A 23,429-nucleotide genomic window follows, 5' to 3' on the forward strand; every position below is an offset into this window, starting at 1 on the left:
AGTGCTAGGATTACAGGCGTGAGCCACCATGCCCAGTCGAGAAAAAAATTTTTGATATAGCTATTTTTTAGTTTTATTTTTCAACTTTTATTTTAGATTCAGAGGGCACATGTGCAGGTTTGTTACAAAGGTATATTGCGTGATGCTGAGGATTGGGGTACAGCTCCCATCACCCAGGTAGTGGACGCAGCACCCCATAGGTAGTTTTTTAACACTTGGCCCCCTCTTGTAGACCCCAGGGTCTATTGTTCCCATCCTTATATCTATAGGTGCCCAATGTTTAGCTCCCACCTATAAGTGAGAACATGCAGTATTTGGTTTTCTGTGTCTACATTAATTTCCTTACGATAATGGCTTCCAGCTGCATCCATGTTACTGCAAATAACATGATTTCATTATTTTTTATGACTGCATAGTATTCCATGGTGTATATATACCATTTCTTTATCCAATCCACCATTGATGAACACCTAGGTTGATTCAGTGTCTTTGCTATCATGAATAGCACTGCAATGAACATATAAGTACATGTGTCTTTTTGGTAGAATTTATTTTCAATTTATTTTCTTTCAGGTATCAATATAACTATTTTTTAGTTGCCCAGCCCTTTGCAGAAAACAAATTGTGCATACCATCAAGAAGCAGGTGTCTAGCTATGGAATTGGATAATACAAGGGAAACATCAGAAGAGGATGGAGGCTGGGTGTGGTGGCTTACATCTGTAATCCCAGCACTTTGGGAGGCTGAGGTGGGCAGATCGCCTGAGCTCAGGAGTTCAAGACCACCCTAGGCAGCATGGTGAAACCCTGTCTCTACTAAAATACAAAAAATTAGCTGGGCGTGGTGGCAGGTGCCTGTAATCCCAGCTACTTGGGAGACTGAGGCACAAGAATTGCTTGAGCCCCAGAGGCGGAGGTTGCAGTGAGCTGAGATCGCACCATTGCACTCCAGCCTGGGCTACAGAGTGAGACTCCATCTCAAAAACAAATAAACAAACAAAGAAGAGGATGGAAACATAAGTAGGCTCGGACCAGGGACACCTGGTGAGCCATACTGAGGACAACAGAGAGCGATTGGGGAATTTGTCTCGCCTGAAAACCTGTGTCTTTTAATTGCATTAATGTTTAGTCCATTTATGTTTAATGTAAATCCTCATGCTGATATATATTTGGGTTTTCATATCAGTTTATGAAAATTCTCAGATGTTTTCCCTTTAGATCTTCCCCTGCCTATTCTCTCCCTCCTCTCTTTCTGGGACTCCAGTGACAGGATTTCTGAGGCTTTTCCACTTTATCCCATATGTCTCTTACATGCTCCTCTGTATTTTTCATTCTTTTCTTCTCCGTGGTTCAGCATGGATATTTTCCTTTGAGGTATCTTCCAGCCACTCTCTCTTCAGCCATATTTTATCAGGTGCTAAACCCATCTCCTGAGTTGTTCATGTCAGTTATTGTGTTTTCAGTTCTAGGATGTCCATTTGATTCCTTGTATAGTTTCCAGTTATCTGCTGAAATTCTTCGTCTTATCATTTAATTTCTGGAACATATTAATCATAATTAGTGTAAAGGTTGTGTCTGACGATTCTGTTTTCTGATATCTCGTGGGCATGTTTCTATTGTCTGTTTTTCTCTTTATTTTTAGTTAATTCTCGTCTGGGTATTTTTATTGGATGATGACCACTAAGCATGAGAAATTGTAGATAATTTAAGACTTCAAATGATATGATCTTCTTCCAGAGAGGATTTATGTTACTTCTAGAAGGAATTTCGGATGGTGGGAGATTCACTCCACCCATGTTGGAATTTAGCTGATTCTGAATTAGGTCTTAGTGGGGAATGACTTTTATTCCTAGGATGAAGGCACCCACCAAAAAGCCTGGAGCGTTTGCCAGCCTCTTCTTGGCAGCTGACTGTCAGACCTCTGTTCACCTCTCAGCCTCTCAGCAGACACCTCAAGTTATACAACCAAATGTTGAACCTCTCTGGCAGGCTGAGTTTTTTTACATGAATCACTGAAATAGGAACTCAAAAATGGCTCAAGATTTCAGCTTTGGATGTGCTGATTTAGAGTCATGCCATTAATTCTAGTGGCTGCATACCATAGGCTGCTGTACACATGCATTGGACAGCCAGGCAGGATGTGATGAGGTTAAAAAGATTAATAGACAAGCAGATGGCGGCGTGGTGCCCAGGGAGCACCCATGCCTAAGAGGATGGCAGCAGAGGGCGGTGATTCCAACCTGCTTCCTTTTGGAGGGGCCTCTTGTGGGCTGTGGCTGTTTGGGGAGCTTGTCACTGGCTTCGTGAAGCCAAGAGCATTGACCCCACCCCTCACCTGCTTTCCTCAAAGGTCCACGCGGTGTGTCCTGCAGGGGCATGACCTGCTGTTGCGCTCAGCCCTCCGGAGGCTGGCACTCCGCGGCAACGCCCTGGCCACCCTGACGCAGATGCGGCTATCGGGGAAGAAGCACCTCCTGCAGGAGCTGCGGGAACAGCGTGCACTGGAGCAGGGGTCCTCCCAGTGCCTGGACGAGCATCAGTGGCAGCTGCTCAGGGCCCTGGTAAGACCAGCATGGTGGCCCCACCCATTCCAGACAGGCGGTGCCCCTGCAGCAGGCCCCAGCTTCCAGCAGGTTTGCCAGAACCCGAATCCTATCACCCTTGGTGCTGCAGGGTGCGGTATTCATTCGCCGGGGCTGCCATAGCAAGGTCCCACAGACCGGGCAGCTTACACTGCACACATTTCCCTGCTCACCATCCTGGAGGCCAGAATTCGGAGATCAGGGTGTGGGCAGGGCCGCTTTGATTCTGAGACCGCACTCCCTGGCTTGTAGATGACTGTCTTCAACCTGTGTCCTCCAGGTCCTTCCTCTGTGGGTGTCCCATCTCTTATAAGGACACCAGGCATATTGGATCAAGGCCCACGTTAATGACCTCACTTGACCTTAATCACCTCCTCAAAGGCACTATCCACTTACTGACCTCCCATTTTGAAGTACTTGGGGTCAGGGCTTCAACATACAAATTTTGAGAGGACACAATTTAACCATAACAAGTGGAGACAGTGGAGCCCCCGTAGGGGCCACCCATGTACCAAAAGTTTTTAGTATCACTGATATAATGAGAAATATATACTGGAAAAACCATACGGAATCAGAGGGGGACAGGTGCAGTTGTCATTGGGGGTATGGTAGAGAAGGCCTCTGTGGTCTCTTTGAAGTGTGATAACAGATCGAAAGAAATAATTAGTAAGTTGTAGAGCTGGGAGTTACACCCAGGTAGGCTGGCTCCAGGCCTCCTGCATGTAGCCACCAAGCTCTGGGAGCAGCTGCTGCTCTTTGACCCATGAATGAGGCACAAGCCCACAGTCTCTTAAGCTCTATCCAGGAGAGCTCCGAGGAGCAGGCAGGACTCACGGACCTCGCTACAGCCCCGCTCACTTCTTTCTCTCTTATTTCTACAAATAAAGGCAGTCCTCAGAGCCCTGTGTGCCCTGCCTCAGCTTCTGTGATATCCTGAGACTCACATCTGGCTTCAAACCTGGCTCTGCTGTGTGACTTTAGAAAGTTACTTAACTTCTCTGAGCCTTCGTGTCCTCCTCAGTGCTAGTGTTCAGGTCTCATGATGTTCTAGAAGGATGAGCAAGGCCCCCCATCTTGTGAGGGGCCATAGATGGTACTGGGCACGCAGTTGATGCTCAATAAATGCCCTTTTTCTGGGGACACAGACACCTAACAGACACCTAACCTCATCCATTGATTTTTGCAAGCCCAGAGGCCACCTCTTTCTGCCCTTTCTCCATCCCTTTTCCAACCCCTGGGCCCTGGATAGGACCAGCCCCACATCCCAGTCCTGGCCAGAGCTTCTCTGTGAGAGGAGCACTTGGCCCCTGCTCCCAGTCCTTTCCCTCCCAGGAGGCGCGTGTGCTGGAGGAGGCCAGCCGGCTAGAGGAGGAAGCACAGCAGACACGGCTGCAGCTCCAGCAGCGGCTCCTGGCCGAGGCCCAGGAGGTGGGGCAGCTTCTGCAGCAGCACATGGAGTGCGCCATTGGGCAGGCGCTGCTGGTGCATGCACGGAATGCAGCCACCAAGAGCCGGGCCAAGGACAGGGATGACTTCAAGGTATGCACTGACCTCTGTCCCTGGGGACACCGAGGGCAAGAATGTTCAGGGTAGGGTCCATGCCTGGGTCTGCTCCTTGCCACACCGTTCATGGAGCTTGTGGCCTAGTAGACTTTGCCTGACTTCTCCATGACTTGATTTTCTCATCTGTAAGGTGGGATCTTCTCCCTCGCAGAATGGGGAGGGGCAGTCGCAGCAGATCACCGGTTCTCCCCCTGCTGTTAGGCCCTGCGCTGCATCATCCTGAGCACTGGCTCTGTCTTCCCAGCAGCACTGAGTGAGACATGGTGTCACCCAGAGCCACACAGCTGGTCAGTGGCAGAACCGGGATCGGAACCCAAATCCCTCTCTCAGAAAGAGAGACGTGTGCTTTCCCTGCCCCTGGCCGCCTCTGCTGAGACATTAGAGCTTTCTGGAGTTCATCCTGACGGCTGAGCAATGCCGCTAAAAATCAGTTCAGCTTGAGTAGACAGTGGTTTAACTCCTTATACTGACAATAATCATAAATAATAGTGATAAAAATGATAACAGTGAGAAGTCACATTAGCGTTGCACTTAAGTCTAACTAAGTGCTTCTTCCTACCTCGTCTTGTTGGATTTTCCCCACAGTCCTTGCATGGTCAGGATCATTTTTCTTCCCGTTGGGAAAAAGAGGCCTACGATTGGGCAAATGATACATTTCCAGCCTCCAACCTAGTGAGTGGCAGCGCCGGGGCTGCAGGAGAATGACCAGCATACACGCTGCGCCTGCCTGGTGCCTCCCTTACAAGCTGTAAGGAGAGGTAGGGCACCCCTTACAGCACCTCGCTCGCTTCAGGCCACTGTAGGCAGGATGTCTGTGGCTGGGAGACAGCAGCAGGTTACAGCCCTGTGCCCAGCAGGCAGCCCTGGCATCGGGAAGTGCAGGAGCCCTTCCAGGAGCCCTCCAAGGGGTTCCTTTCATCTCAGTAAAACGAGTCACTTTGCGTGTCTGTGCAGCAAAGAGGCTGGACCCACATTTCTGCAACACCCTGTCTTATTCTAAATATCTCACATCTGCCTCAGATTATCCAAACAATTAGGGCTGTGCCTGGCTGGTGATATTGGGAATGTCACCCTGTCCCTAGAACTGTCCACATGTTACCTAACAGTAAATGCTCGCTGCATGAAAATGGAGTAAGATAGAAGGGTGTCGTATTTTGTCCTCAGCTTTCCAGAGGGATTTTGAGTCAAGATTGGAAAATGAGTACCACCACAACTTCACAATTACAAAAAAGTAAAAGTAAAGTGAGGCCGAGCGCAGTGGCTCACGCCTGTAATCCCAGCACTTTGGGAGGCCAAGGCGGGTGGATCACTTGAGGTCAGGAGTTTGAGACCAGCCTGGCCAACACAGTGAAACCCCGTCTCTACTAAAAATACAAAAATTAGCTAGGTGTAGTGGTGTGCGCCTGTAATCCCAGCTACTCGGGAGGCTGAGGCAGCAGACTCACTTGAATCTGGGAGGCGGAGGTTGCAGTGAGCCAAGATCACACCACTGCACTCCAGCCTGGGTGACATAGCTAGACTCTGTCTAAAAAACAAACAAACAAACAAAAAACAGAAAAGCATTGAGTTTAGTTTCTAGAAGAATGGTCATTTATTCAACCTGTATTCAGGGGCTTCCTGGAACACTAGTGCAAATGTGTGTGCCAGTGGGTACGGGGAGACTGGCCAGAAAAAAACTGAGGAGGAGGAGAGAAGGGGTGGCCAAGGATGGAGGGCCTGGTGAAGGGAGGAGAGGTGGGTGCAGAGTGGGGTGTCCGCCACTTTACTGTGGCAGGAAGGCAGGTGCACATAGGATGTGAAGATGTGGGTGGGCTTGCTGACCTTCGGGGAAAGAGGATGGGAGCTCCCGACAGGAAGTGTAAGGCTGGAGCCCAGGTCCTTGGAGGGGTGGAGTGGGAGCCCCCTTTGCAGATGGGGCAGAGGAGAAGGAAAGGACCATTGGCAGTAAGGGATGAGCAGGGGCTCGGGAGTTAGAAGACCAGCTCAGACCTGCACTGCCACTCCGGGCTGTACAGGCTAGTCACCTCCGCAGCCTCCGCGCCGCGCCACACCTGTGTGCTCAGGTACCTTTCTCAGATGCTGTGGTGAGAGTAAGTGGGTATTTTTTCTTACCCAAAGCCTAGCACCATCCAATAAATATTTGCCGAAATGGGGATGAGCTTTTCTGGCTTTTGCCCATCCTCTTATGAGGAAAAGAATGATAACTTTGTCAGTGCACAACCAGCACATCCCCAATGATGGGATGTCTCAGGGTCTCCTGTCTTTTCTACTTTGGTCTGAAGATGCATCATGTAGAAACGCATGTAGCTGCAAGTAACATGGCTCAAAGAAATAGAAGTTACCCCATACCACAAGAAATGGGGAGGTGCGTGACCCAGGCTGCCACATTGGCTTTGTGATGTGACCGAGGACGAGGGTCTTTGTTTCTGACCCTGCATTCTTGCTGTTAATTTGTTGCTTCATAGTCTTAAAATGGCCACTGTCACTCCAGATGTCAGGCCTGCATTCCAGGTAGGAGGAGGGAACAGCAGTCTTTCACCTGCTGGTCCTCCACCTTAATGTTTAGAAACGGAAGGCCTCGGCCGGGCGTGGTGGCTCATGCCTGTACTCCAAGTACTTTGGGAGGCCGAGGTGGGCAGATCACCTGAGGTCAGGAGTTTGAGACCAGCCTGGCCAACATGGCAAAACCCCATCTCTACTAAAAATACAAAAAATTAGCCAGGCCTGGTGGTGCTTGCCTATAATCCCAGATACTTGGGAGACTGAGGCAGGAAAATCACTTGAACCTGGGAGATGGAGGTTGCAGTGGGCCGAGATTGTGCTCCAGCCTAGGCAACAGAGTGAGTCTCCATCTCAAAAAAAAAAAAAAAAAAAAAGATGCGGGGAAGGCCTCTTAGCCGACTTTCCCTAACATCGCATTTCATTGGCTCTAGACATCCCTGACCTAAGAAGATAGGATTCCCATGACTAGTTTAAACCAGCCATGCACTCTCTGCCTGCTTCCTGACCAATCCAGGTTGGTGAGTAGGTGGAAGATCTGAACCAGGGCATGGGGAGGCAGGGACTGGATGGGCCGTGGGTGGCTCCCACGTGTGACTTCTCTGCTGTCCCTGTCCTTCCTTTCTTCCCTCAGAGGACACTGATGGAGGCGGCAGTGGAGAGCGTCTACGTGACCAGCGCTGGTGTCAGCCGCCTGGTGCAGGCGTATTACCAGCAAATCGGAAGGATCATGGAGGACCACGAGGAGAGAAAACTGCAGCACCTGAAGACCCTGCAGGGTACGGGACCCCCCCTCAGGGAAGCCCCAGAAGAGACTGGCAATGTGTGCTTTTAGTTTGGGGCAGAATAGGATGTCAGATACTGTGAATTTTATTTTTGGGAATATAATTATTTCAGTGTTTTAATGTATTTATCCCGTGCTTTGTCTCAAAAAGCCTTTTTCAAAAGGCACTTAAAGAAACATATGCATAAGCACACATCCAGTGCAGTGGGAGTGTTTTAAGTCGGTCACTCAGGACAAGGATAGGATACTGAGATGGAGTCAGGGCCAGGGCTTATCTAGGGCAGCAGTCCCCAGCCTTTTCAGCACCAGGGACTGGTTTCATGGAAGACTATTTTTCCACAGACCAGGGTGAGAGGGAAATGGTTTCAGACGATTCAAGTGCATTATATCTATTGTGCATTTCATTTCTATTATTATTACATTGGAATATACAGTGAAATAATTATACAACTCACCATAATGTAGAATCAGTGGGAGCCCTGAGCTTGTTTACCTGCAGCTAGACAATCACATCTGGGGGTTATGGGAGAGCGGCACATCATCAGGCATTAGATAAGGAATGCACAACCTAGATCCCTCGCATGTGCAGTTTGAAATAGGGTTCACGCTCCTATGAGACTCTGATGCCACTGCTGATGTGACAGGAGGTGGAGCTCGGGCGGTAATGTGAGCGATGGGGAGCGGCTGTAAATACAGATGAAGCTTCGCTCACTCATCTGCCGCTCACGTCTTGCTGTGTGGCTGGGTTTCTAACAGGCCAGGGACCAGTACTAGTCTGTGGCCCAGGGGTTGGGGATCCCTGATCTAGGATATCTGCCTGCAAATCCTAATTAGACGTTCAATGATTTCGTCTGTGAGCTTCCTGGTGGTGAAAGAGACAGACACCTACTTAGTTAAAGCCACCGCAGTGACCATGAGTCCAGTGGTCCAGGGGGTGTTTGAGACCCCAAGAATTTTCCCGCATGGGCTCTTGTAAAAGGCCACCCTGGGGTGATAGAAAGGACAGTATCCCCAGTTCCAGTAACATACAGATAAGGATGGTTGGAAGCCAATTTCTTAAATGCCACTTCTTACAACACCCTCCCCTGAATCCAGAACTTCTGAGTAGGTGGGATTCCACTTCTCTGATGGGCTTTGCCTGGCATGTCCAAGGACTGGAATTGGAATCTATCCCAGGAGAGTCTTCCCTGAGTGTTTCTCCTCTCAGCTGAGCCCAGAGGCCACCTCTGTCTTCCCCTTCTCCTGAAGAACTTGAGGCCTAGATTCAAATAAAATCGGGGCACATGCCCAGAGATCTGCCAGGTTTTCCAAAGGAAGAGTTGGGCTCATTTAGCAGGAGACAGACATGATTGCTTGCTACTGCAGAACATTCCAGAACTGGGGCATGTCTCTTTCCCTTGGTAGGCCTTGGTTTCCCCATCTGTGGGACTAGGGTTGGAGACTGCCCCACCCCAGCCCCCATCCATCCTCTCAGCTCTTATTTCCTGCTTCCTGATACCCCAGCTCTCATGCAGGGATTTCACAGTAAACACATTGAAATGATATAGCTTAAGCCACATCAACTCCTTTTTCCTTATTTAGTAATCTGTTTTATTTAAGAGTTGTACATGCTATGTCCCCAGAGGCTATCCAGGTTCAGTCTCCCTGTAAGTGCCAGCAAGCTCTCCCAGCTAATTAAGTGTGATGGGCCTCCTGCCGTGGCCACTGATCCTTGAGTGGGTTTTCAGCTGAGAGGTACCTTGAAGAGGTAATCCTATAGTTAGCTGTCCAAACCAGGGGCACTATTAATAATTATACTGGGATGACAGGTCTAAACCATGCCTGTCTCAGGCAGCCTCATCACCTTTTTTTTTTTTTTTGAGACTGAGTCTCACTCAATCGCCCAGACTGGAGTGCAGTGGCATGATTTCGGCTCACTGCAACCTCTGCTTCCTGTGTTCCAGCAATTCTCCCTCAGCCTCCCAAGTAGCTGGGATTACAGACACATGTCACTGCGCCTGGCTCATTTTTGTACTTTTAGTAGAGACAGGGTTTCACCATGTTGGCCAGGCTGGTCTCGAACTCCTGACTTCAGGTGATCCACCCATCTCGGCCTCCCAAAGTGCTGGGATTACAAGCGTGAGCCACCTCGCCCGGCCTCACTTTACTTTTAAAGCTTTTAAAAGCCAAGAGTTTTCTGAGCAGCTTAACCTGCAAACAAGAAGGAGCTCCAAGAAATGGGGCATAACTTCAGAGCCCAGACTTCCTAGCTCCTTGGAGAGCACCCACTTCGGCACTGTGCCCTCACTCTGCCTGGCCAATCACTTTTCCTTTACAGTGTGGCTTTTAAGCTCTTTGTGGTGCCTTCTCAGTGTTGACTTTTTCTTAGTCGGCACCCATTTCTCCTGATACAAGAAAGCTACAGGTGGAGCAGGTGGACAGGGCGCATCATAGTTTCGCTCTGCAGTGCCTGGTCCATGATGGAAGCTGTGTTGTTTGTGCACACAATGCCCTGTCCCTGTGCTGGTGGAAGGATACACTCTTGGAGAGCTGGTGTGTCTCACTCACCCTGCACCCCAGCACCTGCCCCAGACCTGGCACAGTGGATCCTCCAAACAGACCCCTTGATTGTCCTGTGTTAAATGGTCTAGGTGAGAGGATGGAAAATTACAAACTGCGGAAAAAGCAAGAACTCAGCAACCCTTCGTCGGGCAGCAGGACGGCAGGTGGCGCTCATGAGACCTCCCAGGCGGTCCACCAGAGGTGAGGTCCCAACTGAGGTCCCACGTAGGGCTGTTCTCTACCCCATTCACATGGCATATCTCTCTGTGGTGCCGTCAGCAGGTGCCGTCGCGTGCATTGCCCGTGGACTTGGGGGCCATCGGCCTTCCTCACCCGCTGCCTCTGTCCTGGTCTCTGCCCTCCATGCAGCACCTGGAGTGGCACCTGGCACAAATGAGTGAGCAGGTCATGGTGTGGTGGCAGCTTCATTCCCAGGTTTAAGTGGCATTCACAGCCCGGACACAGGTCTAAGCCATGTTTAGACACGCGCCTACCCTCTCATACTTTGGGCATTCTCAGAAGCAGACCTTGACGAGGATTTGGGGGCAGGTTGTTTACCTGGGAGGTGACCCGCAGAGGCACAGTGAGAGGGCAGGGAAGTGAGGAAGAGGTGGCTGCTTCCTGTAACTGTGACCATCACAATGAGTGCAAATGTAACAGCCCAAGCCATGTAGACTGCCTGTCCCACAGTGCTGGAGGTCAGAAGGCAGGCTTGGCTCTCCTGGCTTCTCTGTGCCTCACAAGGCCTGAGCGAAGGGGCCCGCCGACCGGGCTGTTCTTAGGAAGCTGCTCAGTAACAGGTGTCAGGAAACGCCCTGCTGCAGGGTTTGCACAGACCGAACTTGCCCTAACTTTCCAGGCTCCCAGCAAACTACAGTCTGGCAAGTCCTCAGATGTGGGGCGCAGAAGCATCACTCGGCTTTCCTGCGAAACTTGCAGGTTCTGGGCCCACACCTGGAGACTCAGGCTCAGAAAGTGTGAGGAGAGCCCAAGAATCTGAATTTTAGCCGCACCTCTCCGCACCAAGGGATACTGATAGATGTGGTCCAAGGGCTTCACTTTGACCCAGGTGATCCAAGAGAAGGAGCCTCAGCAGCCAGCTGGGCCAACCTGCTTTATGGAAGAGGAAAAGGAAGCCCAGTGTTGGGAAAGGGGGTGCATGAGCCCATCTGTGACTCACAGCTTATATGTGGCTGTTGATGCCCTTCCCTCCCTGTCACACCTCCTTGAATTCAGAGGCAGTTTCTTTTCTTTTTTTTTTTTTTTTTTGAAGGAGTGACAGTACAATTTTGTGACATAGCTATATTGAATAGTGGTGAAGTCTGAGCCTTTATTGTAACCATCACCCAAATAGTGTACGTTTTACCCATTAATTTCTCATCATCCACTCCCCTCCCATCGTCCCGCCGCCCTTCTGTGTCTCTGTTGTCCATCCTTCCACTCTCTTTTTTTTTTTTGAGACAGAGTCTTGCTCTGTTGCCCAGGCTGGAATGCAGTGGTGCAATCTCAGCTCACTGCAACCTCCGCCTCCCGGGTTCAAGCGATTCTCTTGCCTCAGTCTCCCGAGTAGCTGGGATTACAGGCGCGCACCACCATGCCCAGCTAATTTTTTTGTATTTTTAGTAGAGATGGGGTTTTACCATGTTGGCCAGGCCGGTCTCAAACTCCTGACCTCAGGTGATTCACCCGCCTTGGCCTCTCGGTGCTGGGATTACAGGTGTGAGCCACTGCGCCCAGCCTGTCATTCTACTCGCTGTGTCCATGTGCACACATTATTGAGCTCCCACTCATAACTGAAAATATGAGATATTTCTGTTTCTGAGTTGTTTCACTTAAGAAAATGGCCTCCAGTTCCATCCACGTTGCTGTAAAAGACATGATTTCATTCTTTTTTATGGCTGAGTAGTATTCCATTGTGTATATGGACCACATTTTCCTTATCCAGTCCTCCATTGATGGACACTTAGGTTGATTCCATATCTTTGCTATTGTGAATAATGCAATGAACACACGAGAGCAGGTATCTTTCTGATATACTGATTTATTTTCCTTTGGGTAGATACCCAGTAGTGGGATTGCTGGATCAAATGGTCATTCTATTTTTAGTTCTTTGAGAAATCATGCTGTTTTCCATACAGGCTGCACTAATATACATTCCCACCAATGGTGCATAAGTGTTCCCTTTTCTCCACATCCTCACCAAGTGTTATAGTTTGTCTTTTTAGTGATAGCCATTCTAACTGGGGTAAGATGATATCTCCTTGTGGCTTTAACTTGCATTCCTCTGATGATGGGTGATGCTCAGAGTTTTTTCACATGCTTCTTGGCCATTTGTGTGTCTTTTTTTTAAGAACGTCTATTCATGTCCATAGGCACGGTTTCTAGTGGAACTCGGCCTCCTTTAAGGTGTGAGAGAGGCTGGAGTCTGGAGTGCTGGCCTCAGCTGTGCCAAATGAGTGATTTGTTTACTGTCCACCCTCCTTCCTGCCACTCAAACTAGAGCTCCTTGAGGACGGGGACTGTGGGTCTCTGTTCACACCTTTGTCTCAGAACCCAGCACAGCACCTGGCAGGCCAGAGATACTTTAATGAAGGAATGAGTGGATGGATGGAGGGAGGGAGGAATGGAGTGAGAGGTGGAGGGATGGATGACAGCGTCTTGTAGGGTGCACAGGAATTTGCTGGGCAAAAACAGAGAGGAAAGGTGTTACTGGCGGACAGAAGAGTGTGAGGTAGGAGCAGGGTGGCATTTTCACACCTCGGAGCACTCCACACGCACAGCTGCCTATCCATGCTAAAGGTGGCCCTGACTTCAGGTCTAGAAATTCGACCCCTTTCAGAAAATCTGCCCTAAAAGATGGGAAGGAGGCAGGCAGGGAGCAATAATGGAAACAGGGTGGCTGGATTTGGATGTTCCTGACTGCTTAGGAACGGAGGGCATCCAGAGAGGGAGGTGGGCCCTGGGGCTCAGGTACCCGGCCTCTGCTCCAGCTCTGTCCCCCTCTCTGAGAGTAACAGGCTGCCTGCCGTATTCGGGATTTCCCAGAGGCTGCATCCCAAGAAGCTTCTCATTTTACGAGGGAGGGGCCGGGGCAGTTCTGAGATTTAAACTCAGGGATGGGTAGCCGGTAGGCCTCTGGTCCTTTCAGGAGAATGCTCCTCCCTGGGGAAAAGATTGTTTTCTCATGAGAAGATGCCACCTTCTGCTCCGCCACTTCACAGACGTGTGTCCTGAGGGAGGCCCCCACCTCTCTGGGTTTCTTCCCCCCAGCTTTTCTACTCTGTCCTGCTGGTGTCATGAAGCTCCTCCGAAGATCACATGCAAAGTGTGTGGGCAGGACTCTCTAAACTCCCGTGTTGTAAAGGGCGTCCACTTTGATGGAGAGGCAGCCTGCCTGTGGGGACTGGAGCTGGGGCTGCTGTGAATGGTGCCCCCGATGGCCAGGCCCCTCTTGGGGCTCCCAGGGATCAGCAGCCTCCCTGCCTTCCTTCTCCCTCCCTCCCTCCCTCCCTCCCTCCCTTCCTTCCTCCCTGCCAGCCTGCCTGCCTTCCTCCCCCCAGGATGCTGTCCCAGCAGAAGAGGTTCCTGGCCCAGTTCCCAGTGCACCAGCAGATGCGTCTGCACGCCCAGCAGCAGCAGGCAGGAGTCATGGACCTTCTGGAAGCCCAGCTGGAGACCCAGCTACAGGTACAAGTTACAGAACTGGACCTTCCAAAAGCAGTGGTTTAAAGAGGAGCAGAAATAGCTGAAGCCAGCCTGTGACCACACGTCAGCCATGGGGACTGCACTTCCCTGCCTGTGGCATCGTTGACCCGCTGAGTCTCACCTGCTGAGGGTGTGTCGGCCTCGCCTTAGGACCCTGAGCCCCTGGAGGGCAAGTGTGGCCTGTGTGGATCCCTACAGCAGCTGCAGCATGCTAAGCAGGGCCAGGCCCTGAGCAGCTGGTCAGGCCTCATCTATGGAGCTGACAGAGAATTGAGCATTCCCCTGTGTGCGCATGGCCACCAGGAGGCTTCCGGTGTAATGGTGACCTCTGTGTCACTCAGGCAGTGTTGGCGATAGCTAAAGTTTACACTTTATTTACAGCAAACAGGAAGCTCAGCTCTCATGATATAAAGTGCATATTTCATTACAGAAAATCCCATTTGTGTGAGGTTATACAGTGAGATGTAAGGTGAGAGTATAAAGTGTGGCTAAGCAAAGTGGCTGCCTTTAAAAAAATCAAATCTTCCAGAATGGAAGCATTTAGCAGAGTGTTGGCCCTTTCAGAGTGTTCTCCACTGGCGATGGCAGTCGCAGAGTGACAGTGGTAAGAATACAGCAGTGGTGGCCGATAGGTACTTATTGAGGGTCTATGATAGATAGTCATGAGCTGAGAGCTTTGCACACACTTTCCAACAAAAGAGGTTACTGCTACTGTCCCCATTACAGATGGACAAACTGAGGCATGCACAGGTTACGTTGCTATCCAGGGTCACACAGTTAATGCATCATGGAATTCTGGTGTGTTTGTTTACACCACAGTGTTGGAAGTTTAGAGCCCAGCCTGTGGAGTCGGGCAGAAGTGAGTCCCATCCTATTCTGCTGCACCTGCTCCGGGCAGGTCACTGAGGCCCTCTGACCTCAGTGTACTCTGTCAACTGAAGACCGACGGCCAGTGTGAGTGAGGACCCACAGTTATGCAGCAGGAGCTGGTAGATGCCAGTGTGTCCTCCTGCTCCTCTCCTCTCTGGGATGTATGTTGGAAAATTCTCCTCCACACGGGAGACGTGGTCTTCAGTGGCCAGCCTCAAGTGTCAGAATTCACTCACGTGGAGAGGGATTTAGAGAAGTCAGAGGGAGGCCCAGCTGAATGCTCCTCTCTGCTTGCATTTCAGGAAGCTGAACAGAACTTCATCTCCGAGCTGGCAGCCTTGGCCCGAGTGCCCCTTGCTGAAAGCAAACTGTTGCCTGCTAAGCGTGGGCTGCTAGGTGAGTCACAGATGCTTGAGTTGCAGCGGGAAGCACTCTGGGCTGAGAGATACGGATTCTAGTTCCACACTGGCCACTAACTAGCTGTGTGACCTTAGGCATCGTGCCTAGGCTCTCTGGGCTTTTGTGACCTTGTCTGTAAATGAGCAGGCTTGGCTAGGCCACCCCTCAGGCCCACTTGCTCTCTAGCATTTGATAATTCCAGTTCTTGGGTCTGGTGTTCACTGGCTGTGTCTCCTAACTGACTCCATTTTTCCATCTGTAAAGTGGGGATAAGCCCTCCTCCCACCCTTGCCAGCGACAACTTCAGTGACATCACAGGATTTTTTAACCTGGTAATGAGAGAGTGACTCAGAAGGTGGTGTGAGAACACAGAGATCTACTGAAACAAAAGCTGTCACACTGGTGCTGGGTTTTCAGTTGCTTGCTGCTTCATTAAGTCTTCCAGTCAGCTGGGTAGAGTGGATACCCAGCGGGAGCCTAGCAGACTGGAGCTCAAGCCACAGCTCTGCCACTTCCTGGCTTGTGCAGGCTTGGGAGAGTACGTCACCTTCCCAGGCCTCAGTTTCCTCATTAGTTGAGTGGCTGCAATAGCATAAGATACCAAGCATACACTTGGCCCACACAACATGCTCAAAAATGTCAGGCTGGGTTGGTGTGAGGCTGCAAGAAGTTGTCACTTGTCTAAAGTCACAGAGCCATGCCTGGGTTCATCTGTCCTCTACAGAGAAGCCCCTAAGGACTAAAAGGAAGAAGCCCCTGCCCCAGGAAAGAGGGGACCTGGGGGTGCCCAACAATGAGGACCTTGCCTCCGGGGACCAGACCTCAGGCTCACTCAGGTATGACTGGGCCCCGGACCTGTTGCCTGTGGCTGGGTTTGGTAAATGCACTCAGCTGCTGTGTGCCAAAAGTCAGGGCAGGAAAATCATCAGTCCCCTCAGAGGCATTAAATGTGAAGGTTCAAGAAATGACAGATATGAACGTAATTTGTGGGCAGTAAGCCATGATGATACCAGGGGTGCCACATGGCTGTTACCCTTCCTGTTTGTGTCTCATTTGGCCAGATGAGCCTTGACCTACCTCCACACCCCATTGGCATCCAGCCTGAAGTGTTGGGCAGTCCCTTCTTTGACCAGGGATGGCTGTGGTCATGGCACTTGGATGACCTCCTACCCAAGGAGGGAAACGGGTTTTATTGGTTTCTTAACAACCCATGTCAAAGTAAAAATTGTTTTGATCACCTTTGGCTGCATTTTCATTTAATCCGATTGGGTAAGTTATGGCATCATGATGGGCATGGAGTCAGCGTTCTAACTGGCTGCCTTTCTTCTCTGTTTTAAGCAGCAAAAGGCTGAGTCAGCAAGAAAGTGAAGCTGGGGACAGTGGGAACTCAAAGAAGATGCTAAAGAGAAGAAGCAACTTGTAGTTTAAGACCAGTCGGTGGGACAAGACCTGAAGCCCTGGGTCTGGGTGTGAATTCCACCTTCCCTCCTGCAGTGCTGAGAGGCAGCGAGGACGGAGAGGACAGCGGCATCTCTAGGCTCTTCTGAGAGGGACAGAGAAAGAATAGAAATGTGCCCTAAAAGCATAAATGAGTATCACCTGAGAAAATTAGGCATTCCCGTCTTGGAAACACGTCTCTGTGAGTTTGCATTTCATTTGGCTTGGAGCCCTGGCTCGATGCCTCATGGATCTTTCTCCCCAAGGAGGGACGTCTTGAGGGGTCCGAGCCTCAGGCCAAGGACCCCTGATGCAGACTCTGGAATCCCTGGCCCAAAGGCCTGTCTGGGCCCATCTGGGGCTGAGGACACACAGATACATAATGACACCTGCAGAAATGTATTCTCTGAGGACACTTAGAATATGAGGAAGAGGGTGTGGCCCAACCCTCACTTCACCTGGGGAGGGGCTTCTTCCGGACAGTAGACACCCTGCCCGTGCAGAGAGATGTCATGGGGGCACCTGCTCTCCCTGATAGATGCTGAGAGCATCCAGAAACTTCCAGACCAGCCCTCTCACCACACCCAGAAGAGGCCTTTCCCATCTGGAGAGAAGCTTCCAGACCAGCCCTTCACACACCACAGCCAGGAGGGGCCTTTCCCACCTGGAGAGAAACTTCCAGACCAGCCCCTCATACCACAGCCAAGAGGGGCCTTTCTCACCTGGAGAGAAATTTCCAGACCATCCCCTCTCACCACAGCCAGGAGAGGCCTTTCCCACCGGTAGAGAAACTTCCAGACCAGCCCCTCACACCACAGCCAAGAGAAGCCTTTCCAGCCTGGAGAGAAACTTCCAGACCAGCCCTCTCACTACAGCCAGGAGAGGCCTTTCCCGCCTGGAAACTTCCGGACAAGCCTCTCACACACCACAGCCAGGAGAGGCCTTTCCCACCTGGACAGAAACTTCCAGACCAGCCCCTCTCACCACAGCCAGGAGAGGCCTTTACCACCTGGAGAGAAGCTTCCAGACCAGCCCCTCACACCACAGCCAGGAGAGGCCTTTCCCACCTGGAGAGAAACTTCCAGACCAGCCCCTCATACCACAGCCAAGAGGGGCCTTTCTCACCTGGAGAGAAACTTCCAGACCAGCCCCTCACACCACCGCCAGGAGAGGCCTTTCCCACCGGGAGAGAAACTTCCAGACCAGCCCCTCACACCACAGCCAGGAGAGGCCTTTCCCACCGGGAGAGAAACTTCCAGACCAGCCCTCTCACTACAGCCAGAAGAGGCCTTTCCCACCGGGAGAGGAACTTCCAGACCAGCCCCTCACACCACAGCCAGGAGAGGCCTTTCCCGCCTGGAGAGAAGCTTCAGGCCAGCTCCTCACACCACAGCCAGGAGAGACCTTTTCTGCCTGGAGAGAAACTTTCAGACCAGCCCCACACACCACAGCCAGGAGAGGCCGTTCCTGCCTGGAGAGAAGCTTCCAGACCAGCCCTTCACACCACAGCCAGGAGAGGCCTTTCCCACCTGGAGAGAAACTTCCAGACCAGCCCCTCTCACCACAGCCAGGAGAGGCCGTTCCCACCTGGAGGGAAAATTGCTCCTTTGATGGAGGTTAGGGACTGTCACCCTCAGCACTGTGAACATACCGGGCGAGATCATTCTTCAGGGGAAGGAGCTGCCCAGAGCATCACAGGATGTTCCAGTGTCCCTGGTCTCTGCCCACCAGATGCCAGCACTCCCACCATTCGTGGCAACCAAGGATGTCTCCAGACACTGCCCCGTGTCCATGGGGTTATCACCCACTGTGCTGAGTCAAAGGGTGCCTTGCCCTGGTCTAATCCAGGACATAGCCGTGGATACGTCCAAAAATCCCCAGAACCTAGTGAGCCCTCTGGCTCTGGGAGCCCCTATCTCAGGAATTTTCAGGGTCATTTGTGACTTTTCATTTCTTAAAACCTGAAATAGACTCTCTTAGAAACAAGTGACTCCTTCCCAGTGGCCAAAACTTAATCATCAGAGCGCTTCCTTCAGTTCCTCACCCATCAGCCAGTGGGCTCTCCAAAGTTAACCAACAGCTCCCTCTTGTGGTTCACTAAAAAACTTGGTTATTCCATGGAGTTGTGCAAAGCTATGGCTTCCTTGGTGCAATATTCTTAAAACCTGCTTTGCATAGAAATCACTTTTGCCCAGGCTGGAGTGCAGTGGCGTGATCTCGGCTCATGGCAATCTCCATCTCCCGGGTTCAAGCGATTTTCCTGCCTCAGCCTCCCCAGTAGCTGGGACTACAGACGTGTGCCACCACGCCTGGCTAAATCTTTTTTGTATTTTATTTTAGTAGAGACGGGGTTTCACCATACTGGCCAGGCTGCTCTCGAACTCCTGACCTCATCGTCCACCTGCCTCGGCCTCCCCAAAGTGCTGAGATTAGGCGTTAGCCACCGCGCCCGGCCAGAAATCACTTTTATATTGTCACATGGGCCCTCTGCACAGAGTCCGATGGCTCCTCCCGGGGAAGCCTGATTTTGTGACGTGTGTATAGTAAATGCAGGCCCTCTGGCAGCACCATAATTGGTCGGTTACCCTGAGCCCAGAGCTCTGAAAGCATCTGTGGAATGATCACGGGACCCTTCTCCTCTGAGAAGGCTCCCGGCTGCCTCCCCGCCACCGAGCTTGTAGCCTGAATGCCTGGCTGTCGCATGGAGCATTTTGCTTCTGGGGTGTCTTCCTTAGCCAAAGGGAACGTGTCATTTGCTCGACCCTGGCCCACCCTTGCCGCCCAGCTGTTGTGCTGGGCACAGTCTGGGGCACAGGCCTCCATGATGAAGACGCGTGGGCTGTCGGTGCTTTCATCCGTCACAAACTGGCACCTGTACCTGCCAGCAGGAGCATGATGGGGACTTCCATGCTGGAATTGCTCCCTGATTAAAATGAGATATGGCTATTTGGAAGACACTGCATTTTAGCCAGTGTACCTGGGCACAGACTCGGGGCTGCCCTGAAGCTGATGAAGGCTTGAAGGACGGAAGGGCTGAGCCACATGAAGGCAGCACTCAGGGCCAGGGGAGAGAGAAGAGGATCAGCAGTGCAGCCCCAGGATGCCTCGCAGGTACCCTGCCTCCATTTTGGTTACCATCCCCACTTATTATGGGCTGTGGGCTGTTATGGTGATGGATGGATGTGGATTTGGAAGGGGACCATGAGAGATGATGTATTATGATGAACTCATGATTTAATTCTTTGGTGAAAATAGCACCCTCTGACCTGTACTTGAGACCGCAGGATGAAGCCAGCACGGTTTTTTGTACTCCCCCAGGGTGAGTGCACTCTCCCAGGACCCTCCTGGCCAACCAGGGGTCACGTTCTGCACCACATTCCTTCTGAGGCCCTGGCCAGGGCGGTGCTGATCTTGCTGTTGCCACAGAAGCCTCTCCTGCCCCTGCCATCCGCCCATCACATGTTCTCCAACGCAAATCTGCCTGGCCTTATGGGCGGCGTTCCCTGGCTCTTAGGAGAAAAAGCCAGATCTTTACCATGGACCATGAGGCTCAGAGAGGTCTAGGCTGAGCCCACCCCTGCGGCCTAGCAGATGCCCTTCCCCTTCACTCTGCACCTGGTCCCTGTCTTCTCTCATGGCCTCACATGGGCCACACCCCTGCCCCCCACTGGGCCTTTGCTCATGATGTGCATTCTTTCTGGAAGACCCCTGCCCCCCTCCCCAGCCCTCTGCCCAGTGGCTCCTAGCCACTCCTCACATGGAGTCAGGACTCACATCTCCAGAGATCCCCCTCTGCCCCCAACCCTGAACAACATCAGGGCCCCCCTTAGATTCTAGGTCCTGTGTTCTTTGCTGCTGGGACTGGGGTGAGGTCGGTGGGGGAGCATATAAATAACCTTCCTTTATTTCTTGTCCAAGTTCATCACTATACACAGAGGTGTACAGTGAGACCCACATAAACAATCCCACTAAACCCAACTCAACTGGCCCTTACCCAGATCCTCCAAATGTCCCAGGCCTCCCTAGTGTCACCTGATATGCAGTGGCATCAGCAGGAAAGGGAACAGTGGTCTTAAGGATTGCAGCTAAAAGATCTGACTGTGGCATTGTAAACTGTAAGGAATGTGTCAGTGAACCCGTGGCTAAGCCCACTCCCGGGTCTCGGTGGGGTCTGTGCACAGGTGGCAGAAGTGTGAGCTCCATGAGCTTTACAGTGAATCAGCTGTGGGGCACAGAGGGCAAGCTTTTCCTCCACCCTACGAAGGCTCCTTGAGAAACAATTGACCAAAGGCAGACCAATAGGAAAAAGAAAAGCATTCCAACGTAACGTGCATGGCATGGGGAATTGCAGGAGAGTGATGACCCCACAAACCAGTGAGGTCCAGGTGCTTCCACACCCTCATAGGGAGACGGGAAATGGGGGAAATGTGGCCGTTTAGAGGGTAAAGCGTGATTTATAGGGGGAACGAATCGATCCAGAGGCAGGCACTGTCTTGGGAGTGATCCTTCCCAGACTGGCCAATCAGGTATTTCTCCTCCTCCCCAGAGAAGAATAAAAGAGAGAGGGAGAGGGGCCAGGGAAGTCCCTTGTGCTGTCCCCCAGAGAGTGGAAGCCCCTCCCTCTATGGAAACCAGAGGAGTGGGAGATGGGATTATTCTCCCCTAAATGTTTCCTCTATAGCCCTTAACAGAGTGTGCAGTTCGGTGCTTTGAGTAATCATTTGATTCGCACCTGACGTCCCCCCTGGAATGTACACCATTGACCGGCCACATGCCACCTGGCATATAACAGGCATTCATGGTCACCTGGTGGAAGGAAGGGAGGGAGGCCTGGGAATATTCCTTTCCTCCTGTGGCAACTGGTTTGGAAGGAAGGGAGGGAGGAACGCTGAGTATATACTTTCCTCCTGTGGTGTATGGATTGGAAAGGAAGGAGGGAGGGAGGGAGGCCAGGAATACTATTTTCCCCCCATGGCTTATAGATTTGGCTGTGTGTCAGCATTACCCAGGGGCTCATTAAAAACAACATTCTTAGCCCCATCCCAGAGATTCTGAGTCAGCAGATTGGACAGGAGGCCTGGGGATCTGTTTTTTCCCCACTGGGCTCCCGCTGATGGACTTGGTCCACTTCCTGATGCACCTCCTGCCCACCGACATAGCCTGCAGTCCAGCCGCTGGACTTAGTCTGAGGTGAGCTCTTCATCCGCCTTGTTCTGGCTGTGGTGGCCATGAACATGTACCTCTTGGGTCCCCAACGGCAAGGAGCAAAAACGACCAACATCCTTGGGATTTCCTGCCGTGCTCAGAAATCCTTCCCTGCGTGAGCATGGAGGCCACACTTCCTGCAGGGTGCTCCCAGTGCCTGCAAGAGGCAGGGATGTGGAGGCCTCCTTAGCCCACATGACAGGGCTCCTCCAGAGGACAGCCTGGGCCCCAGGACTTCTTGCTCTACCTGCTGAGATGTAGAACTGTGCAGCACCAGAGTCTTGCCTCCCTCCCTCCTTTCTACCCTCTCTTCACTCCCTTCCTCCCCTCCCTCCCTTCTTTCCTTACCCCCTCTGTCCTTCTTTTCTCCCTCCCTCCTTCCCCTCTCTCCCTTCCCTCCCTCCTTCCCCTCTCTCCCTTCCCTCCCTCCCTTCCCTTCTCCCCTCTCTCCCCTCCCTCTCTCCCTCCATCATGGGGCTGTCAGCTGCATCGCAAATCTGTGGGCTCTGCCTCCTCTGGCTCTCTCCTCATTTTGCCTCACAGATATGTCCCCCAGTACACATCTTGCCCACATCTAATCCTGGCTCAGTGTCTGCGTCTCAGAGGACGTGGACCAAGGCACTTGCCGTCTCAGGCTTAGTTGACCCTTCAACCTCCTGAGAACTCTGGGCCCAGGCAACCCTAGAGAACTGACTCCTGTCCATGTTCTCCTTTCTCTGGAAACCACTTAGCTGCCTCCGTCATGCTCTGGGCAAAGGCAGGGCAGGTTGGGAGAAGGAATCAGTGAGGCTGAGGCCCCAGCCTAAAGGTCACAGGGCCGCCTGGCCCAGGAGAAATCCCCTGCACCAGGCATTTGCCCACATGGCTACAAGTGAACGTTGGGATACGGAGTGTTCTTTTTTGCTATGAAACTGGAGTCATGGAGGTCCTGGTCGACATTCTTCCTTCCAAATACAGTGGCCTGGATGGGGGAGGGCAGTGGCTATAGAGGCTTCCTGCACCGTGTCGGGGCTCTTGTCCATTGCAAGCTGGGACCCCAAGCTACCCACGTGGTGTTTGGCTCCCGTCTGATAGGGAAAGACTTTGAAGTCCACATCCAGGCATAATGGATAGCCAGGCTGCCTAAGTGGTTTGATAGATCTCCCAGAAAATTCCCAGATGGACTCTGGACGCACAGCCATGCCACAGCTTTCCTCCTCTTGGGAACAGACTACCAGTGAGAGGCTTTACTCTGAAGCCAGGTGCACCAGGGCCCCTGTGTCTTTTCCTCTAAAATCTCTGCAGGTCTGCACTAAGAGAAAAATAGAAAGTTCAACTTGCTAAGAGCCCCTTTTGCTTAGGAAACTTCTTTTCATGGTTTTTCACTTCATAAATGGACTTGATTGGAATGAACCTTTAGGCAAATGACACTGTCAATGGGCATCACGGCCACACTCTGCCTTGGAAAGAGTAACACAGAGGAGGGTTACGCACTTACGTCAGAAGAGTAGCTCTGTTGAGTCTATAGAGATTTGGCCCCAGGATAAGGGTAGCACCTTCTCTTGTCCACTGTCTATGATCAAGGTGGCCAGACCAACCCTGGGGGCTAGAACATGGTAGACCCTACTGGTGACATCTGAAAATGGTTTGGCTTTACGTAGATGAAGGAAAAGTATGTGCAAAGACCTTGCCCATTCTGTCTCACTTTTTAAGAGTCAATATGCAATCTGGAGGCAAAGATAGACAAACCAACTGATGTGGTTTGGCTGTGTCCCCACCCAAATCTCATCTTGAATTGTAGCTCCCATAATTCCGTGATGTGGGAGGGACCTGGTGGGAGATAATTGAATCATGGGGGCAGTTTCC

The 23,429-nt window shown here is 51.6% G+C and overlaps 1 protein-coding gene across 44 annotated transcripts in view, besides 1 other annotated feature; it reads left to right on the forward strand.

The window, feature by feature from the left end:
* Positions 1-23,429, forward strand: part of EVC (EvC ciliary complex subunit 1) — a 117,857-nt gene that overhangs the window by 83,472 nt on the left and 10,956 nt on the right. For 33 of the 44 annotated variants that reach the window (XM_047449774.1, XM_047449769.1, XM_047449778.1 and 30 more), the window contains 8 exons: positions 2,350-2,560; positions 3,914-4,120; positions 7,278-7,422; positions 10,058-10,169; positions 13,529-13,655; positions 14,846-14,939; positions 15,667-15,778; positions 16,281-19,490. In XM_047449774.1, coding sequence (XP_047305730.1) covers positions 2,350-2,560; positions 3,914-4,120; positions 7,278-7,422; positions 10,058-10,169; positions 13,529-13,655; positions 14,846-14,939; positions 15,667-15,778; positions 16,281-16,365 — 1,093 coding nt within the window. In that variant the 3' untranslated portion in view covers positions 16,366-19,490. Of the gene's footprint in view, positions 1-2,349; positions 2,561-3,913; positions 4,121-7,077; positions 7,161-7,277; positions 7,423-10,057; positions 10,170-13,528; positions 13,656-14,845; positions 14,940-15,666; positions 15,779-16,280; positions 19,634-23,429 lie in introns of those variants that run through there. The other 11 variants (XM_047449800.1, XM_047449801.1, XM_047449807.1 and 8 more) reach the window with 4 other exon arrangements.
* Positions 18,310-18,359: an enhancer, noted in NCBI's record as "active region_21246". NCBI's record gives its function as "activates an Ori minimal core promoter by ATAC-STARR-seq in GM12878 lymphoblastoid cells {active_cell/tissue: GM12878}" and the evidence as "EXISTENCE:reporter gene assay evidence [ECO:0000049][PMID:35858748]".

Source organism: Homo sapiens, chromosome 4 (assembly GCF_000001405.40).
Source record: "Homo sapiens chromosome 4, GRCh38.p14 Primary Assembly".
Classification (NCBI taxonomy): Eukaryota; Metazoa; Chordata; class Mammalia; order Primates; family Hominidae; genus Homo; species Homo sapiens.